General features: G+C 34.6%; 1 annotated feature.

Moving 5' to 3' along the window:
• Positions 17695-18196: an enhancer, noted in NCBI's record as "NANOG hESC enhancer chr6:93175322-93175823 (GRCh37/hg19 assembly coordinates)". NCBI's record gives its function as "activates a minimal SCP1, AML or CMV promoter by ChIP-STARR-seq in primed H9 embryonic stem cells {active_cell/tissue: H9 hESC(primed)}" and the evidence as "EXISTENCE:reporter gene assay evidence [ECO:0000049][PMID:30033119]".

The following is a 19911-nucleotide window of genomic DNA, read 5'->3' as shown; positions in this document are numbered from 1 at the left end:
ATGGCGACACGTGCCTGTAGTCTCAGCTACTTTGGAGGTTGAGGTGGGAAGATCATTTGATCCTGGGAGCTGGTGGTTGCAGTGAGCCAACATTGCACCACTGCACTCCAGCAGAGTGAAATTCTTTCTTAAAAACAAAAGAAGGACTATATACGTCAACATAATAAAAGTCATGTATCACAAACCCACAGCATATATATCATAGTGAATGGGGAAAAACTGAAAGCTTTTCCTTTAAACTCTGGTACATGACAAGGATTCCCACTTTAACCGATGTTATTCAACATAGTGCCGGAAGTTCTAGCTAGAGGAATCAGAAAAGAGAAGGAAATAAAGGGCATCCAAATTGGAAACAAGTCCAATTATCCTTGTTTACAGATGATATGATCTTATATTTGGATAAACCTAAAGACTCAAAAAAATAAAAAAAAAGATTAGAACTGATAAACAATTTCAGTAAAGCTGTAGAGTACAGAATCAACATACAAATAACAGTAGCATTTCTATATGTCAATGGGGAACAATCTGAAAAAGGAATGAAAAAGGTAATCCCATTTTCAATAACCATAAATAAAAATCAATCTTAGGAATTAATTTAACCAAAAAAGTGAAAGATCTCTACAATGAATACTATAAAACACTTATAAAAGAATTTAAAGAGGGTACCAAAATAATGGAAAGATATTCCATGTTCATGGATTAAAAGAATCAACATTGTTAAAATGTCCTATTACCCAAAGTGTTCTACAGATTGACTGCAATCCCTATCAAAATACACATGACAGTCTTTACAGAAATAGAAAAAACAATCCTCTAATTTATGTGAATATAAAGAAAAGCAACCAACACAGAATATCAAAAGTTATTTTAAGCAAAAAGAATAAAACTGAAAGAATTACATTATCTGACTTCAAATTACACTACTGAGCTATAGTAGCCAAAACAGCATAGTACTGACATAAAAACAGACACATAGACCAATAGCACAATATAAAGAACCTAGAAACAAATCCACATACCTACAGTGGACTGATGTTTGACAAAGGTGCCAAATACATACATTGGGGAAAAGACAGTCTCTTCAATAAATGGTGCTGGGAAAACTGGGTGTTCATATGCAGAAGAATGAAACTAGACCCCTATCCCTTGCCATATACAAAAGTAAAATCAAAATGTATAAAAGACATAAGTCTAAGACCTCAAACAGTGAAAATACTAAAAGAAAACTTGGAACAAACTATCTAGGACATTGGTCTGGTCAATTGAATAATATTCCATAAGGACAGGAGACCAAAGCAAACACGAACAAATGAGATCACACCAAGTTAAAATGTTTCTGCACAGCTAAGGAAGCAGTCATCAAAGTGGAGGGACAACCTACGCAATGGGAGAAATATTTTGCAAATAACCCATCTGACAAGGGATTAATAATCAGGACATATAAGCAGTTCAAACAACTCTTTAGGAAAAAATCTAATAATTGAATTAAAAATTGGCAAAAGATGTGGATAGACATTTCTCAGAAGAAGACCTACAAATGGCAAACAGGCATATGAAAAGGTGGCCAACATCGTTGACCATCAGAGAAATGAAAATCAAAACTACAATCAGATGTCATCTCACCCCAGGTAAAATGGCTTATATCCAAAAGTCAGGTAACAAGTAATGCTGACAAGGACATCGAGAAAAGGTAATCCTCATACACTGTTGGTGGGAATGAAAATTAATATAACCAATGTGAAGAATGCTTTGCAGGCTCCTCAGAAAACTAAAAATAGAGCTGCTATGTGATCCAGCAATCCTACTGCTGTACACACCCAAAAGAAAGGAACTCAGTATATCAAAGAGACATCTGCACTCTCATGTTTGTTGCAGCACTCTTCACAATAGCCAAGATTTGGAAGCAACCTAAGTGGCCAGGAACAGATGAATGGATAAAGAAAATGTGGTACTTATACACAATGGAGTACTACTCAAACATAAAAATAAATGAGATTCAGTCATTTGCAACAACATGAATGGGACGGGACATCATTATTTTAAATGCAATGAGCTAGGCACAGAAAGACACACATCACGTGTTCTCACTTATTAGTAGGATGTAAAAATCAAAGCAACTGAACTCATGGTTAATGGATTAAAAAATTAACTAGAAAGATTAAAACCTAGTATTTCATAGCACAACATGGTGACTATAGTCAATAACAATTTAATTGTACATTTTAAAATACATAAAGAATATAATTGAATTATTTGTACCACAAAAGATAAATGCTTTAGGGGATGTATACCCTATTTTCTATGATGTTTTATTATGCATTTATATGCCTGTATCAAAACATTTTATGTACCCCCTAAGAATATATACCTACTATGTACCCAAAAAACTTTTAAAAAGGCAATAAAACTATGAAAAGAAATCAGAAAAATAGAAAACAGTAGAGAAAATTTAATAAAAACAACTTAATTTACAAATATCAAAAACATTGATAAATTTTAGATGAGCTAATAAAGAAAAATAGATTTAAAAAATTCCAGTGTAAGAAATAAAAGAGAAGACAGGTTGTACACATGTAACATTTTACCATCAAATTTGAAAACTTAGGTAAAAATATACAAATAACTTGAAAAAGACAATTTATCAAAACTGATATAACAAGAAATAGAAAAATCTAAGTATACATATCAATTACAAACATTTTAATTACCAAAAACCTTCTCATTAAGAAAACTCTAGGCCCAGATCATTTCACTCTAAATTTAACGTGTAAAGAAGTTAAAATGCAAATCTTATATAAACTCTCACATAATACCTTCTTATCTTATGAGACCAATATGACATCAAAACTAAAAATTTTTTGAAAATTGCAATATAAATTAATTATCATGAACTTACATGCAAAATACTTAATAAAATTCTAGCAGATTGAATCTGGCAATTTATAAAAGGATAAACTCCACTGGGGTCTATTCCAAGAATGTTAGTTTGCTTAAATACTCAAAAACTGATTGCTACAATTGATATTCTTGTAGAAATAATGATTTCTTAGTTTTGATATTTTACCATGATTAGGTAAGTTACTAACATTAGGGAAATTTGAGTGAAGAGCATAGAAGTTGTCATTGGACTATCTTTGAAACTCTTCTGTAAGTCTAAAATTATTTTAAAATAAAAAATGTAAAAAATAATGAATATAATTTACCAATATTACAGAATAAAGAGAAAAAATGTATAATCCTTCCAATAAATGCAAAAAGCTTTTGACAGAATTTACTACCCGTTAATACTAAGGTCTCTCTGAAAATATCCTTAGAAGGGAACTTCTTCAATTTGGTAAAGGGCATTCATAAAACATCTATGACTAACATCTTGATTGGGATGATGGTTTCACAGTGTACATATTCATTAAAAGCCATTAAACTATACACTTAAGATGTGTGATTTCATTTTATGTAAAGTTACTTCAAATTATATATGTGCCTATGTATATGTCTCAGTATGTATGGGTGTGAATATACATGGATGTATCTAATCCAATTTTTGTCTTATATGCCAGATATATTTGGTTGATTAACACAGTGTCACTAAAATGATCATTTTGTAGGGAATATTTGGCAGAAGCTTCAATCCTAAAAAGTATGCTTACTCCACTTCCTTGCAGCTGGAGCTCTATATGAAAATGTAGCTTCACCAATTTCTGCATCTGTTTCTGATGGCAAGCAGGCTAATGGAGACAGACATTTTAAGAGTCAGTTGCAGCAGCTGACCTCAGCATTCCTGTCTAGTTATTAGCTTCCTGTGTGTTCAGCAGCTAATCTGTCTGCCGCAATGAATTGGTTTCTTCTCCATGGATCTTAACTACTATACAAATGTGGTACACCTTGAAGTAAATAGTCAATTCTTAAAGTTCTTTAAGCAAAATAAAAGACATTCTCTTTTTTTTCCTCTGTTTATGTTTATATCATCATTCTTTGTTTATAATACCTCATGATAAATATTGGATGAATTGTCTTACAAATTTTAATTATATATGCCTAGACAACTAAACCTGTTGTGATATTTGTTTTTTTAATTTTATTAGAGAGTTTATTAAAACAGTGTTAGGTTCACAACAAAATCGAACAGAAGGTGTAGAGATTACTCATATAGCTCTTTCCCCCACCTAAGAAAAAAATCTTGCACCACACTGGCATATTTGATACAATTGATGAACATACATTGACACATTGTTATTACCCAAATTTTATTGTTTACATTATAGTATATTCTTGGTGTTGTACCTTCTAGTATCATATAGAGTAGTTTCACCACCCTAAAACTCCTCTGTGCCTGCCTCCTAACCCCTCCTAAACCTTGATTTTTTTGTTTTGTTTTGTTTTTGTTTTTGAGACAGGGTCTCACTCTGTTGCCTTGGGTGGAATGCAGTGGTGCGTTCTCAGCTCACTGCAAATTCTGCCTCACAGTTGGGCTCAAGCGATCCTTCTACCTCAGCATCTCAAGTAGTTGGGACCACAGGTGTGTGCCACCACACTGGCCTAATCTTCTGTATTTTTGGTAGAGGCAGGGTTTTGCCATGTTGCCCAGGCTGATCTCAAACTCCTGATTTCAAGTGATTCAGCCTCCTTGGCCTCCCAAAGTGCTGGAATGACAGGCATGAACCGCTGCCCCAGCCAACCTTTATCTTTTTAGTGTCTACTTAGTTATGCCTTTTGCAGAATATCAGATAGTTGGAATCATAAAACATGTAGCATTTGCATATTGGCTTCTTTCATGTACATGAATTTAAGTTTCTTCTTTACCATTTTGTGGGTTGATAGCTCATTTCTCTTTATCACTGCCTAATATTCCATCGTCTAGATGAATTAAGTTTGTTTATTCATTCACCTACTGAAGGACATCTTGTTGTTTCCAAGTGTTGGCAATAATAAATAATGCAGCTATCAACATCCATGTGTGGGTTTTTGTGTGGATGTAAGTTTTTAATTCATTTGAATAAATAATAAGTGCAACTGTATTGTTTACTAAGTGTATGTTTAGTTTAGAAAGAAACTGCCAATCTGTTTTCAAAGTGGTTGTACCATTGTGCATTTCCACCATAAATGATTGTTTCTGTTGCTACAATTTTTTGTCAGCATTTGGTGTTGTGTTTCGAATTTTGCCAATTCTAATAGGTATTTCTATCCTGTTTTAATTTGCAATTTGTACTTGATGTTGAGCACTTTTTCATTTGTTTATTTGTCGTCTGTATATCTTCTTTGGTGAGGTATCTGCTCAGATTTTTTTGCCCATTTTTCGATTAGGTTGTTCATTGTCTTATTGTTGAGTTTTAGGAGTTCTTTGGATATTTTAGAAAACAGTATTTTATTAGATATGTTTTTTTTTTTACAAATGTTTCCTTCCGGTGTGTGGCTTGTTTTCTCATTCTCTTGAGATTGTCTTTTGTAGATCAGAATATTTAAGTTTAATGAAGCCCAGCTTATTAATTCTTTCTTTCATGTATCATGCCTTCGGTCTTGCATCTAGAAAGTTATTGCCATACCCAAGGTCATCTAAATTTTCTCCTGTGTTGTCTTCCATGGGTTTTATAGTTTTGCATTTTACATTTAGGAGTCTGATTTTAAGAAGTTTGTATTTTTGGAGTGTAACGGATCTCTGTCTAATTTTTTTTTTTTTTTTTTTGCATGTGGGTGTTCAGTTTTTCCACAGCACTCTTGGTTGAAAAAACTATTCTCTATTTTATTGCTTTTGCTCCTTTGTCAAAGACCTGTTGAGTATATTTATATTGGTCTAATTCTGGCCTTGCCATTTTGTTTCATTGATCTGTTTGTCTGTTCTTTTACTAATACCACACTATCTTGATTACTGCAGCTTTATGGTAAGTCTTGAAATCAAGTAGTGTCAGTCATCTGACTTTGTTCTTCTTTAATATTTAATTGGTTATTTTGGATCTTTTGTCTCTCCATATAATATTAGAATCAGTTTTTTGATATCCACACAATATCTTGCTGGGATTTTGATTGGAATTACATTGGATCTATAGATGAAGCTGCAAAGAACTGGCATCTTGGCAATATTGAAGTCTTTGTATTCACGAAGATGGAATATCTCTTCATTTATTTAATTTTTCTTTGATATTTTTCATTAGAGATTTTTATTTCTCCTCTCATATATATTGTACATATTTTCTTAGATTATAACTAAATATTTCATCTTGGAGGGTGCTTATGTAAATGATAATGTGTCTTTAATTTCTAATTTCACTTCTTCATTTTTGGCACATAGGGAGCTATTAACATTTCTTTATTAACCTTGTGTCCTGCAACTTTACTCTAGTTGTTTCTTAGTTCTTCTTTTGGATTTTCTACATAGACAATTACATAATCAGCAAACAAAAATAGTTTTGTTTCTTCCTTCTCAATTTGTAAACATTTTATTTACTTTTCTTGTCTTATTGTGATAGCTAAAACGTCCAGTATGATGTTGAAAACAGGTAGTAAGAGGAAACAACCGTGACTTTTTTCTAATATTAACAGAAACCATCTAGTTTTCCATCATTAAGTATGATTTGTAGCTATAGGTATGTTTTGCAGATGTTCTATATCAAAGTGTGGAACTTCTTCTCTCCTCCTAGTTTATTGAGAGCTTTTTTAAAAATTATGAATGGGTGTTGGATTTTGTCAAATGCTTTTTCTGTATCAATCAATATGATTGTTTGAGTTTTCTTCTTTAGCCCATTGGTGTAATGGATTAAATTAATTGATTTTCAAATGTTGAGCAGCCTTGTATACCTGGGATAAATCCCACTTAAACATGGTGTATATATATATATATTTTTTTGAGACAGGTTCTGTCTCTGTTGCCCAGGCTGGAGTGCAGTGGTGCAATCCTGGCTCACTGCAACCTCCACCTCCTGGGTTCAAGCAATTATCCTGCCTCAGCCTCCTGAGTAGCTGGGACTACAGGCACACACAACACTTGGCTAATTTTTGTATTTTTAGTAGAGATGGGGTTTCACCAGGTTGATCAGGCTGATCTTGATCTTACCTCAAGTGATCCCCCTAACTCGGCCTCCCAAATTGCTGGGATTACAGGTGTGAGCCACCACCCCTGGCCAAATTCATTTTACACTTTGGTGGTTTTGATTTGATAATGTTTTTGAGGATTTTTGTATATATGTTCATTAGAGACATTGGCTTTTTCTTGTAATATCTTTGGTTTTGATATTACAGTAATGCTGGCTTCAATTAATGAAGTAAAATGTATTCCTCTCACTTTTACCTTCTGAAAGAGATTCTACAGAAGTGGTATAATTTCTTCCCTAAATGTGTGGTAAAAATCACCAGTGCACTTAACTTGGCATGTTGCTTTCTATTTTGGAAAGTTATGAATAATTGATTCGATTTATTGAATAGATACAGGACCCTTTAATTTGCCTGTTTCTGTTTGAGTTTGGCAGATGGTGTCTTTTAAGGATTTGGTCCATTTCATCTAGGCTATCAAGTTTGTAAGCATATGGTTATTCATAATACTGCTTTATTATCCTTTTAATGTCTGTGGAGTATGTAATGATGTTTCCTCTTTTATTTTTGACATTAGTAATTTGTGTTTTCTCTTTTTTTTTTCTTAGTCATCCTGGCTTGAGGCTTATTGATTTTGTTGATCTTTTCAAATAACTAGGCTTTGGTTTTGTTGACTTTATCTACTGATTCACTGTTTTCAATTTTATTGATTTGTGCTCTAATTTTTATTATTTATGTTCTTCTGCTTACTTTAGGTTTAATTTGCCCTATTTTGCTAGTTTCCTAAGGTTGAATATTAGATTATGGATTTTATAGCTTTCTTATTTTCTAAGAATATATATTTAATTCTATAAATTTCCTCATAAGCAGTTTTCACTGCGTTACACAAATTTTGATAAGTTGTATTTTACTTTCCATTATTTCAAAATCTTTTTAAATTTTTCCACATTTCTCTTTTGACCCATGTGTTATTTAGAAGTGTGTTGATTAATTTCCAAGTATTTGAGGATTTTCCACAGTCTTTCTGTTACTGGTTTCTAATTTAAGTCCTGTGGTAGGAGAGCAGATAGTGTATCATTATTATTGTTTTCAAATTTTTAAGGGATGTTTTATGGCCCAGAATATAATCTGTCATGGTTACTGTTCCATGAGAGCTTGTGAAGAATGTGTAATCTGCTGTTATTTGATGAAGGAGTCTATAGATGTCAGTTTTATCCAGTTGATCAATAGTGCTCTTGAATTCAACAATGTCCTTACTGATTTTTTTTTTTTGGCTGTTAGAGCTTTTTATATATAAGATAGGATTGTTAAAGTCTACAACCATAGGAGTGAATTCATCTTTTACTCCTTGCTACTCCATCAATATTTGCCTTACGTATTTTGATGTTCTTTGGTAAGACACATCCGCATTAAGGATTATGTCTTCTTGCAGTGTTGAGCCTTTTATTTGTATTGGCCCTTTCATGTCTGATAACTTTCCTTGCTCTGAGGTTGGTTCTGTCTGAAATTAACATAGCTACTCTCACTTTCTTTTGACTAGTGTTGTATCTGTCTCCATCCATTTACTTTTGGTCAGTATGTGTTTTTGTATTTAATGTCTGTTTATTATGAACAAGTTATAGTTGTGACTTGTTTTTGGATACACTCTGACATTTTCTGTCTTTCAATTGGTGTATTTAGACTGCTGATGTATAAACTTATTAGTAATATACTTGAATTAATACCTGTCATATTTGTTACTATTTTCTATTCTATGCCCCCTGTTCTTTGTTCTTATTTTTGCCTTTTGTACTATTTCTGTCTTTTGCAGTTTTTATTTAACATTTAAGCTTATCCCAACTTCATTCATTTCTTACCATATCAATTATACATTTTTTTTTTTTACTTTTTTTAGTCGTCACCCTATAGCTTTCAATATACATTTACAACTAATTCAAGCCCACTTTCAAATCACATTATACACTTCAGGGTAAAAAAAAAAGAAGCTTTTAATAACTAAATACGTTTATTTTTCCTTTCACTCTTTGTATCGTTGGAAACATTTATTTTATTTTTAAATAAGCATATCATATATGTATATATATGTATAAACATATGTAATCTAATACATTTTTGCTATTATTTGAACAAATTATCTGTTAGTTTAATCCAGAATTTTTAAAATGAAGTTTCATTTAACCTCCAACTATTCCCTATGCTCTTCTGTTCTTTATTTAGATCCTAGTTTCTGATCTTTATACATTTTTCTTTTCCCTGAATATTTATTTTCAGAGACAGGGCCTTACTCTGTCACCTTGGCTAGAGTGCAGTGATGCAATCATAGCTCACTGCAGCCTCAAGCTCCTGTGCCCAAGCAATACTCTTGCCTCAGCCTCCCAACTAGCTGAGACTACAGGCACACACCACCATACCCAACTTACTTTTTTTGTTTTTCATAGAGATGAGTTCTTACTATGTTTCCGAGGCTGGTCTTGAACACCTGGTCTCAGGCAATCCTTCTGCCTCAGCATCCCCAAGTGCTAGAATTACAATTGTGAGCTACCACATCTGGTCTCCCTTCATAATTGAAGGATGATTTCAAAGGATAGATAATTCTAGGTGTATTTTTTTCTGTCAGTACTTTAAATATTTCATTTCACTGTTTTCTTGCATGGTTTCTGTATAGAAGTCAGATGTAATTTTTATCTTCCATAGGTAAAGTACTTTTTCACTCTTTTTTCTTGTTTTTTATTATCTTTAATTTTCTATAGTTTGAATATAATATTTATACACATAGATTTTTTTCTTTAATTTTAGGGGTAGTATTTGTCCTTTTTGGCATTCTGTGAGCCTCTGGGTTCTGTGGTTTGGTGTCTGACATTAAATTAGGGAAATTCTCAGTCATTATCGCTTAAAATATTTTTTTATTTTGTTTTTAGAGATCAGGTCTGGCTATATTGCCCAGGCTGGTCTTGAAATCCTGGTTTCAAGAAATTCTTCCTCCTAGGCCTCCCAAAATGATGAAATTACAGATGTGAGACAGTGTGTCCAAGCTTTAAGTATTTCTTTTTTTATTTCTCAGTTTCTTGTTCTTTTATTTTTATTTTTTGTATGTTATACCTTTTTTTAGTTGTCCCACTGTTCTTGGATATCAGTTCTGTTCTTTGTTTTGGGATTTTTTTCTTAGTGTCTTTTTTTTTTTACTTTTTGAGGTATCTGTTGTCATGTTCTCAAGCTCAGATGCTCTTTCTTCCACTGTGTCCGGCTTACTACGGATCCTACCAAAGTCATTATTCATTTCCATTGTAGTGCTTTTAATCTCTGGTATTTCCTTTTGAATATTTCTAAGAATGTCCATCTCTTTGCTTACATCATCTATCTGTTACTTTGCTGTTTACTTTTTCCTTTAATGCTTTTGTCATATTCATCATAGTGATGATTTTTCTTTAAAAAAATTTGGTCTGCTATAGTCAACAGTCTTGTTATGTTCTACCTGGTTCATAGGTTTGTTCAGTCTCTTCAAATTATGGGTTTTGTTTGTTTTATTTATTTATTTATTTATTTATTTATTTATTTATTTTTGGCATTTTAGTCTGCCTTTTAATTTTTTTGTTGTAAGGTGAACATTTTTTACTAGGTAAAAGAAACTATGGTAAATAAGCCTTCATTAATGTAATGGTAAGGTTTGTGGGGAGAAGAAGCATTCTGCAGTCCTGTGATTAGGTCTCAGTCTTTTGTAGACCTGTACCCTCCGATGGTAAACTTCATAACTGCTTCTTAATCCTTCCCGCTTTAGGTGGGAAAGGAAGCCCAGAGGGGGTTGGAGTTTGTTATTTCCCATTCTCCACATGAAAGGCTAGAGCCTGATGGAGGTGGGTATTTTCCCTCCCCTAGTTAGGTCAAGATCTGAAAAAAATCCCAGCAGGTCAAGCTCTGGTAAAACAGCTTCTCCTCAGATCAGGCCTTGCTAAGAACAGAATGCGCTGATGTATTTCAAAATTGCTCATTCCCTGTCCCTCTGCCAGGGGCATAAGGAGATTTTTCTCAAATATTCACCATAAGGACCTGGTTGAGCTCCTGGAGTTAAAATTCATGAAAGTGTGAGGGCCCTTCTGTGACTGGATTCCCCTGAAGTTTTTAACTTTCTGACTTGTCTACACTGAGCCTCCAGCAATTTGACATTACAGTTCACATTTTCCTACCTGGGCACTGGTTTTCCTGCTTATGGGTTTTTGTTGCAGTCAGTTGTGGTGCTCTATATTTGCCTTTCTCTCCAATTCTGGGGACAATGGTTTACCCTGGGACTACACTTCTCTAGTGGATTTAAGAAGTGTTGTTTATCCTTCAGTTTGGTCTGCTCTTTGCTTGTTGTTAGGATGGAGTGGCAATGGCTAAGCTCCTTACATGCCCGATCCAGGAAATTTCCTTTTGGTAATAGTTCTCAAAAATCATGATTGTGGACTTTTGAGAGTCTATGGAAATTTTCATGTAGACTTTCTCCATTAAACTTGAAGTAAATGTTTAAGCTTTTTTGCCATATAATTCACAAACCACAAAATTCACCTATTTAAAGTGTACAATTTTATGGGTTTTAGTTTATTTACAGTGCTTTAATTTTCAAATATTTTTAGATGTTTAAGTTTAGAATTTTTTGTAACATGCGCACACACACACACACACACACACACACACACATATATATATATATATACCCCTGTACTTATTAACAGTCATTCCCCATTATTCCGTCCAGATGTCCTCATCCCAAACCCCCTTCTTCCCACCTCCTAGCCCTAGGTAACCACTAATCTATTTTCTGTCTCTATAGATTGACCTAATCTGGGCATTTCATTTAAATTGAGCTGTGGAATATATGATGTTTTCTAGGTTCATTCATATTGTGCCATGTATTGTGCTTCATTAATTCCGATTGTCGAATAATATTCCACCTTATGGATGTACTATTTTATTGAATCTATTCATTTGATAGACATTTGAGTTGTTTCAACATTTTGGCTAATATGAGTGATGTTGCTATGAACATTTATGTACAAATTTTTCTGTGTTCATTTCTCTTGAATAAAATACCTAGGAGCGGAATTGCTGTGTTATGTAACTACATGTTTAACTTTTTGAGGAGCTGTCAGACTATTTTTCAAAGTTGCTGCACCATTTTTACATTTCCTCCAAAAGTATATGAGATTACTAATTTATTCTCACCCTGACTGATATTTGCTATTATCTAACTATATTATTATGGCCACATTAGTAGGTATGAAGTGTTATTTCTCTGTGGTTTTGATTTGCATTTCTCTGATGGCTAATAATGTTTAGTGTCCTTTTATTTGTTATTGATCATTTATAAATCATTTTTAGAGAAATGTCTATTCAGATCCTTTGCCAAATTTTTAATTGGGTAATTTGTCTTAGGATTGATTTCTTCTTAGGTATACAGTTTTGCTGATGTTAGTCAGCACTGCTTCCTTGGGATACACTCGACTTGGTCATGGTGGGCAATACTTCTAATATAATATTTAACTTTCTTTACTAACATTTTATGGAAAATTTTAATATCACATAAAATATTATTAAATATCAATATTCAGAAATGAGATTGTGATTTTAAAGCTATGTAGATTAAATTTTAACGTTAGGATTTTGCTAGCATCGTAAAGTAAATTTGATAGATTTCATTTTTTTAGTGCATAATATTATTCATAGTTTTTGCTTGACTAAACTCACTGTCAAAACAGTATCTCTATAGAATATTCTTTGGAGATAATTGGCATATTAAAGACATTGTAATCAGGGAAAGCCGAGGTGAATCTCAGGCAGCCAAGAAGGCTATGGACTCTGAGAAAACTGAAAATAATTTGAATTTTATTCACCTTTTAACCATGAAATCTAGCCGGGGAAATAACTTAGGAGGTAAAGACATACAGAGACCTGGGGACACATGTAGAGGCAGAATAATTTCAGTCAAGAACCCCATCACCTCCTGATATCTACAAGGCAGCATAAAAGGAATGGATGCTTTCTAAGGAAAGAAGAATGAGGAGAGGCCAAGCTCTGAAAAGGGCTGAGCATATTTAGACAAGGGAGAATAAAAAGTCTCTTAATAGATTTAACTTAATAAAGCATAAATTATAATTCATATTGGATCATTAGCTATTTTTTTCTTTCCCTCAACCTGGCAGATGTTTATTGTGCTGTACAGTAGATAAGAAACAGACAAAGGAGCTGAATTTCTCTGAGTCGTACTGTGAGGTAAAATTTGTAGCCTCACTAATACTATGCTCTCTAAACATCAAAGGCTTTTTGTCCAATGGCAAATATAACATTTGTACCACAAACTTTAATAATCCTCATAAATATTGCTCTCATTTTTATTTAACTTTAGGGCTTTAGCTTTCAGGGACCAAAATGAAATAAGATGAGAAACAATTAGCTTCACATTAAAGACAATATTTTTTCTTACAGCAGTAGTTTAATGTGAAAATATCATGTAAAAACAGATCACCTGGGCCTGTCCTTAAAATGCAGATGAGGCTTCAGAGCCTGAGAATGTGCATTTCTAGCAAGTTTCCAGGTGATTTAGATGCTGCTAGTTTATGCACCACACTTTTAGTACTGAGGATTTATAGCAGGTGATTCTAACTAAATCTACTGTCATAATCACCTGAGTAACTATTTCTACATGCAAATGGCTAATTCCATCTTCCCTGCATTCCCCAATTTCTCTGAGCAGAGCTGAGGAATTACCAATATCAGGGATGGAGTCCTGACCTTACGTATTTTAGCAAAATCGAAATAGGTAAAGATTCCCAAATGATTTCAATATGATGCATCTTTACCAGGGAGTTTAGAAACATTGCTTAGTAAACATAAGAGTCATGCACATGATCCTTAAATTCTAGATGAGAACCTGTCATTATATAATCAAGTTTAAAATGGCTTTACTAAGTTTGTGATGAACGTAGAATGAGTAATTATGATTTTGATAGAATGACAAATTGGATATAGGATTCCTGGAACATAAAGTAATGCCCCAAATCATCAAGATAAATGCCAAATTGCATTAAACCCAAGAAATGCATGGGTTTTACTAACATTTTATTGTTCATGTGATTCTAATTGAAACCACTGTGGGCGCACTAATGATTTTAGCCTGGTGTATGTTACAATGACATTCAATGACAAATTAGATTATTCAGTCATAACTTTATTTAGCAAGGAACTTATTCCCATTAGGAACAACTTCTCATTTTCCTCCATAGAGTAGCGGTGCATTTCCTAGGAGAAATCACTTGGTCAATGCCAGCAGTCTGCTTCAATTTCCTACTATCCAGGGATCCTGAGATTCAAACATCTGTGAAATTTCCAATGGCTTCTTCATGCCAGTGGAAAGTAAAAAATTTCTTGCTTTGATGGTGTTTCCAGATGTTCTTAATGCTGCACATATGGCAAGGGCCATTCCTTCCTAATAAGCTGAGGTTTTCAAAGAATCACACTAGGCAACTGAAATGCGACAGACCCTGAAATCTACCTATAAATTGGCTTTATCTGAAAAGCATTTATATTCCTGACAACCAATGTAATTATCCCAATACCTACATACAAGGCTTCACACAGTCATGATGATGAAACAATTTGTAAAATACTCTTGGTTTGTGGCACAGTGAAGCTGCTTAATTGCTGAAAATAAACTTTACTAAAATTTCCTTTTGAAACTGTTTTCTTTTTTATTGTTACAGATCATTAGGATTAGATACAAGAAGATATTTCAGGGACATATAGCTGGAAAAGTGAAACTGCCTTTGGTTTGCTCTTCTTCTTTTACTGTGGCCTTATTCATATTCTCAACTCTTTTATTCAGTTAATTTATAAAATACATTTAATAAAATTAAATAAAATCGATGAGATAGGAACCGTTGCGATTTTCCAATTCTTCCACAAATTGTTTAATTGAAGTTACTGTAAACTTTTACTTGAACTATTGAAAGAGTCTTCTAAATTCATTAGATCAGTATTTTTAAAAATGCAGTCCCATTTTTTAAAACACTGACCAGCAGTAGTAGCATCACCAAGAAACTTGTTTGAAATGTAAATTATCTGGCACTACCCCAGATCTATGGAATTTGAAACTCTGGGGTGGGGCCCAGCTCACTGATTTATAATAAAACTTTCAGATGATTTCGCTGCAAGGTAAAGTTTGAGAACCACTGAATCAAAGTGCTAAAATCTGAAAAATTATGGTTGGACAGTTAGAAGTTAAATACACTAAAGGTACTCAAGGATAGATTCAGAGATAATATGAAATTGGAACAACATTTGTTATCAAGCTGAGGAGGGTTTCCTTGCAAAATCTAGTGTCAAGATTGAAAAGAACAAGATCTCACAGGAATGGATTGTATATTTGGGACATGCAGAAAAAATCTGTGTGGTTAAGTAATAGGACTACTTAGTGGGAAGCAACTGATTAGGGAGAGTGAAGAGAGTTATTTGGTGGAGTTGTGAAAGGCTAGATGCAGTCTATCCTCTCAGCAAGAAGTGTCAGAAGTTGTCAAATGGAAGAGTGACATCATCACATTTGCTTTCTAGAAACATAATTTTGGCAGCAGTGTGGTGGATTAAGTTATGTAGAGAATGAGAAATAAACCAATTAAGTAGTTACTACAATATTAAACTGAGAGATGATGAAGTTTTATATTATGACTAAAAATGAGGGGTTGGCTTTGAGAGGGATTCCCATAGCACTGTGGTCAGTTAAGTTGTTAGAAGATCCACTTCTAGATAACATGGAGAATGTAGCAAAGATTATTGCTACAATCTTAATAAGAAAACACCAAATACATTAAAAATAATATTTCTTTTAAAATCTGTAAAGAATGGTGGATATAAATAAATCTAAATAAACTAATTCAAAAGAGAAACAAATACTACATAAGTGAACAAAAAGTAGAAGTACCCTAAATGTAGGAATTGTTTGAAAGTGAAAATATATACCACATCAAACATCAGTCATAAGAGAGTTCCTGTATCAGTCAGAGACAGAAATCATACCAGATATTTGAAGAAGGATAATTAGTGTAAAGAATTTTTTTTTTTTGAGACAGAGTTTCACTCTTGTTGCCCAGACTGGAGTCCAATGGCGCGATCTTGGCTCACCGCAACCTCTGCCTCCTGGGTTCAAGCGATTCTCCTGCCTCAGCCTCCCGAGTGGCTTGGATTACAGGCATGTGCCACCATGCCTGGCTAATTTCTTGTATTTTTAGTAGAGACAAGGTTTCTTCATGTTGGTCAGGCTGGTCTCCAACTCCCGACTTCAGCTGATCTGCCCACCCTGGCCTCCCAAAGTTTTGGGATTACAGGCGTGAGCCACTGCGCCAGGCCAGTGTAAAGAATTTTTAATTTAAAAGGTTACAAGTTACTAAAATAATTAAAAAATATAATTTCAAGGGCAGAAGGTAATTACTACCTCTCTGCTGAAGAAAAGTGAGCAAGAAAGGAATTTAGAGGAGCCCCACAGTGTAAGATGTAGCCTTCTTTGTATAGGGCATGGCTGCCACAGGAAAATGCAGCCTACTAGTGGAAGATAAATTTTCTAGAATGTGTCAATGAATGAGCAAGAGCTGAGTGCAAGTATATGGCTGTCATGATGAAGGAAGAAGGTAGGCCACACGTGGGTTGTAATTAAATCATTGGGTTAGGATAAGATAACACATGGATATAGAGGAAAATTATGAAAAAATCCAGGTCAAGCACTAGGGGACAATAGGCTCATTGTATTAAGAAAGAAAAGTAAGATGAAAGGGGCAAAAATAGTCAAGTGCTATCTTATAAATCAAAGAAAGAGCTCAATATGTAGGGCCTCATGTTTACTAGCATTTTTTTAAGCTGACAGGGATGTCTATTGCTATAGTTTGGATATATCTCTGCCAAATCTCATGTTGAATTTTTATCCTCAATAATGGAAGTAGGGCCTGGTGAGAGGTGTTTGTGTCATGGGAGCAGATCCCTCATGGTTTGGTGCTGTCCTTGTGATAGCGAGTGAGTCTTTATGAGATCTTGTTGTTGTAAAGTGTGGCACCTCCTCCCCTCCCTTTCCCCCTGGCTCCCCTACTACCATGTGAGATACCTGCTCCCTCTTTGCCTTCCACCATGATGATAAGTTTCCTAGAAGCAGATGCTTTCTATATAACCAGCAGAATCATGACTCAATTAAATATCTTTTCTTATAAATTTTCCAGTCTCAGGGTTTTTTTAAATATATGTATAGCAATATAACAATGGCCTAACAGAGAAAATTGGTACAGAGGAATTGGGCATTCCTATAAAAATACATGAAAATGTGGAAGCCGCTTTGGAACTGGGTAATGGACAGAGGTTGAAAAAAAGTATGGAGGGCTCTGGAAGAAGACAGGAAGATAAGGAAAAGTTTGGAACTTCTTAGGGGCTGGTAAAATGGTTGTGATCAAAATGTTGATAGAGATATGGACTATAAAGTCCAGGCTAATGAGTGTTCAGATAGAAATGAGGAACTTATTAGGAACTAGAGCAAAAGTCACACATGTTATGCCTTAGCAAAAAGCTTGGATGCATTGTGTTCATGCCATAGGTATCTGTGGAAGGTTGGACGTGAGAATGATGTCTTACAGTATCTAGTGGACATAATTTCTAAGCAGCAAAGCTTTCAATATGTGGCCTGGCTGCTTCTAATGGCTTACACTCAGGTGTTAGAGCAAATAATGACTGAAAGTTGGAATTTACATTTAAACAAAAAGGAAAGCATAAAACTTTGGATTATTTGCAGCCTGGCCATGTGGCAGAGAAAGATAAAGCTTTTTTGGAAAAGAAATTCAAGCAGGCTATGGAGCAACCACTTGCTAGAGAGATCTGCATAACTAAAAATGAGCCAGGTGCTGATAGCCAAGACAATGGGAAAAAGGCCTTGAAGGCATTTCAGAGATCTTCCAGGCAGCTTTTCTCATCACAGGCCCAGAGGCCCAAGATGATTGAATGGATTCAAGAATCAGGCCTGGGGTGCCACTGCCCTGCACCACTCCAGGAGGCTGCTCCTTGCATCTAGACCTTTCCAGCTCCAGCCTCAGCTCATAGGGCCCCAGATACAGTTCAGGCTGTCACTTGACAGGGTGCAAGATGTAAGCCTTTGATAGCTTCCATGTGGTATTAAGCCTACAGGCATGCAGAGTGCAGGAGTGAAGGGTTGGAAGCCTCTACCTAGATTTCAGAGAATGTGTGAAAAACCCTGAGTGCCCAGGAAGAAGCCTACTGCAAGGACAGAGCCCTTGTAGAGAACCTCTATCAGGGCACTGCCAAGGAGAAATGTGGAGTTGGAGCCCCCACACAGAATCCCCCATGGAGCTCTGCCTATTGGAGATGTTAGAAAGGGTCCACCACCTTCCACACCACAGAATAGTAGAGAGCCCCCAGCAGCTTACAAGCTCAGCATGGAAAAGCCACAGAGATGGAGCTGCTCAAGGTTTTGGGAGCTGACCTTTTGCACCAATGTGCCCTGAATGTAGGATATGGAGTCGAAGGAGATTATTTTGTAGCTTTAAGATTTAATTACTACCCTGCTGGGTCTCAAACTTTTGTGGGGCCTATACACCCTTTCCTTTGGCAGATTTCTCCCTTTTGGAACAGGAATATTTACTCAGTGTCTATACCTACATTTTGTCCTGGAAATAAATAACTTGCCTTTGATTTTACAGGCTTATAGGTGGAAGGTACTTGCCGTCTTTCAGATGAGACTTTGCACTTTGGAGTTAATGCTGGAATGAATTAAGATTTTGAGGGATTGTTGGGAAAGCATGATTGTGTTTTGCAATGTGGGAAGGACCTAAGATTGAAAGGGGAAGGACAAAATGGTATAGTTTGGATATATGTGCCCATCAAATCTCATCTTGAATTATAATACCCAGTTTTGGAGGTGGGGCCTGGTGGGAGGTGTTTGGGTCGTGCTGGCAGCTCTCTCATGTCTTGGTGCTTTCCTCATGATAGCAAGTGGGTTATCATGAGACCTGGTTGTTGTAAAATGTGGCCCTCTCCCGCCCAACTCTCTCTCTTGTTCCCTCTCTGCCGTATGAGACACTTGCTCCCCCTTCACGTTCCATTAAGACTGTAAGTTTTCTGAGGTCTCACCAGAAGCAGATGCCAGTACTATGCTTCCTGTACAGCCTGCAGAGCCATGAGCCAATTAAATCTCTTTTATATAAATTACCCAGTCGCAGGTTTTTCTTTATAGCAATGCAAGAATGGCCTAATACATCTATGTATCTGGTAAGAAGAACATTTTCTTGCACTTCTGGAAGAAATACATATTAGATAACCTTTCTCAGAAATATAGCATAGATTTGAATATCATTAAAATGCATCCTTTCACATTGTAAGTCCACTACTGGGAATAAATGATTAGAGTTTTAACTAAATATTATGCACAAAGATTTTCTCATAGCACAATGTGTTATGATAAGAACAAACTAAATGTCCCAATAGAGGGGAGTGACTATACAAGTCATGGTTAATATATATGATAAAATAATATATAAATAGTAAAATATTTTTATAGAACATATAATTATATCTGGAAATCTAACAATATAATTTAATAGGAATGAATATAAAAATAGAAGAATCATAATCCCATGTAAATAAATGTTCCTAGAAAAAAGTCAAAATTACTGATTTGGAGTATGGTGATATTATAATAATTATGGTAATTAAATCCAGTTTATTTCTACAAATGAGCTTGTATTATAATCCATAAAATTCAATGATATTTTAATAAATATGAAGGTGTTGATTGTCAAACTCGTTGAATTATTCTAGGCATTTAATGCTATAAAGCATAAAAATAGAAATGTGAGACACGGCAGTTAGGAGATTACA

Source organism: Homo sapiens, chromosome 6 (genome assembly GCF_000001405.40).
Source record: "Homo sapiens chromosome 6, GRCh38.p14 Primary Assembly".
NCBI lineage: Eukaryota > Metazoa > Chordata > Mammalia > Primates > Hominidae > Homo > Homo sapiens.
Note: the sequence above shows the minus strand (reverse complement) of the source record. Positions and strands in the feature narration are given on the sequence as shown.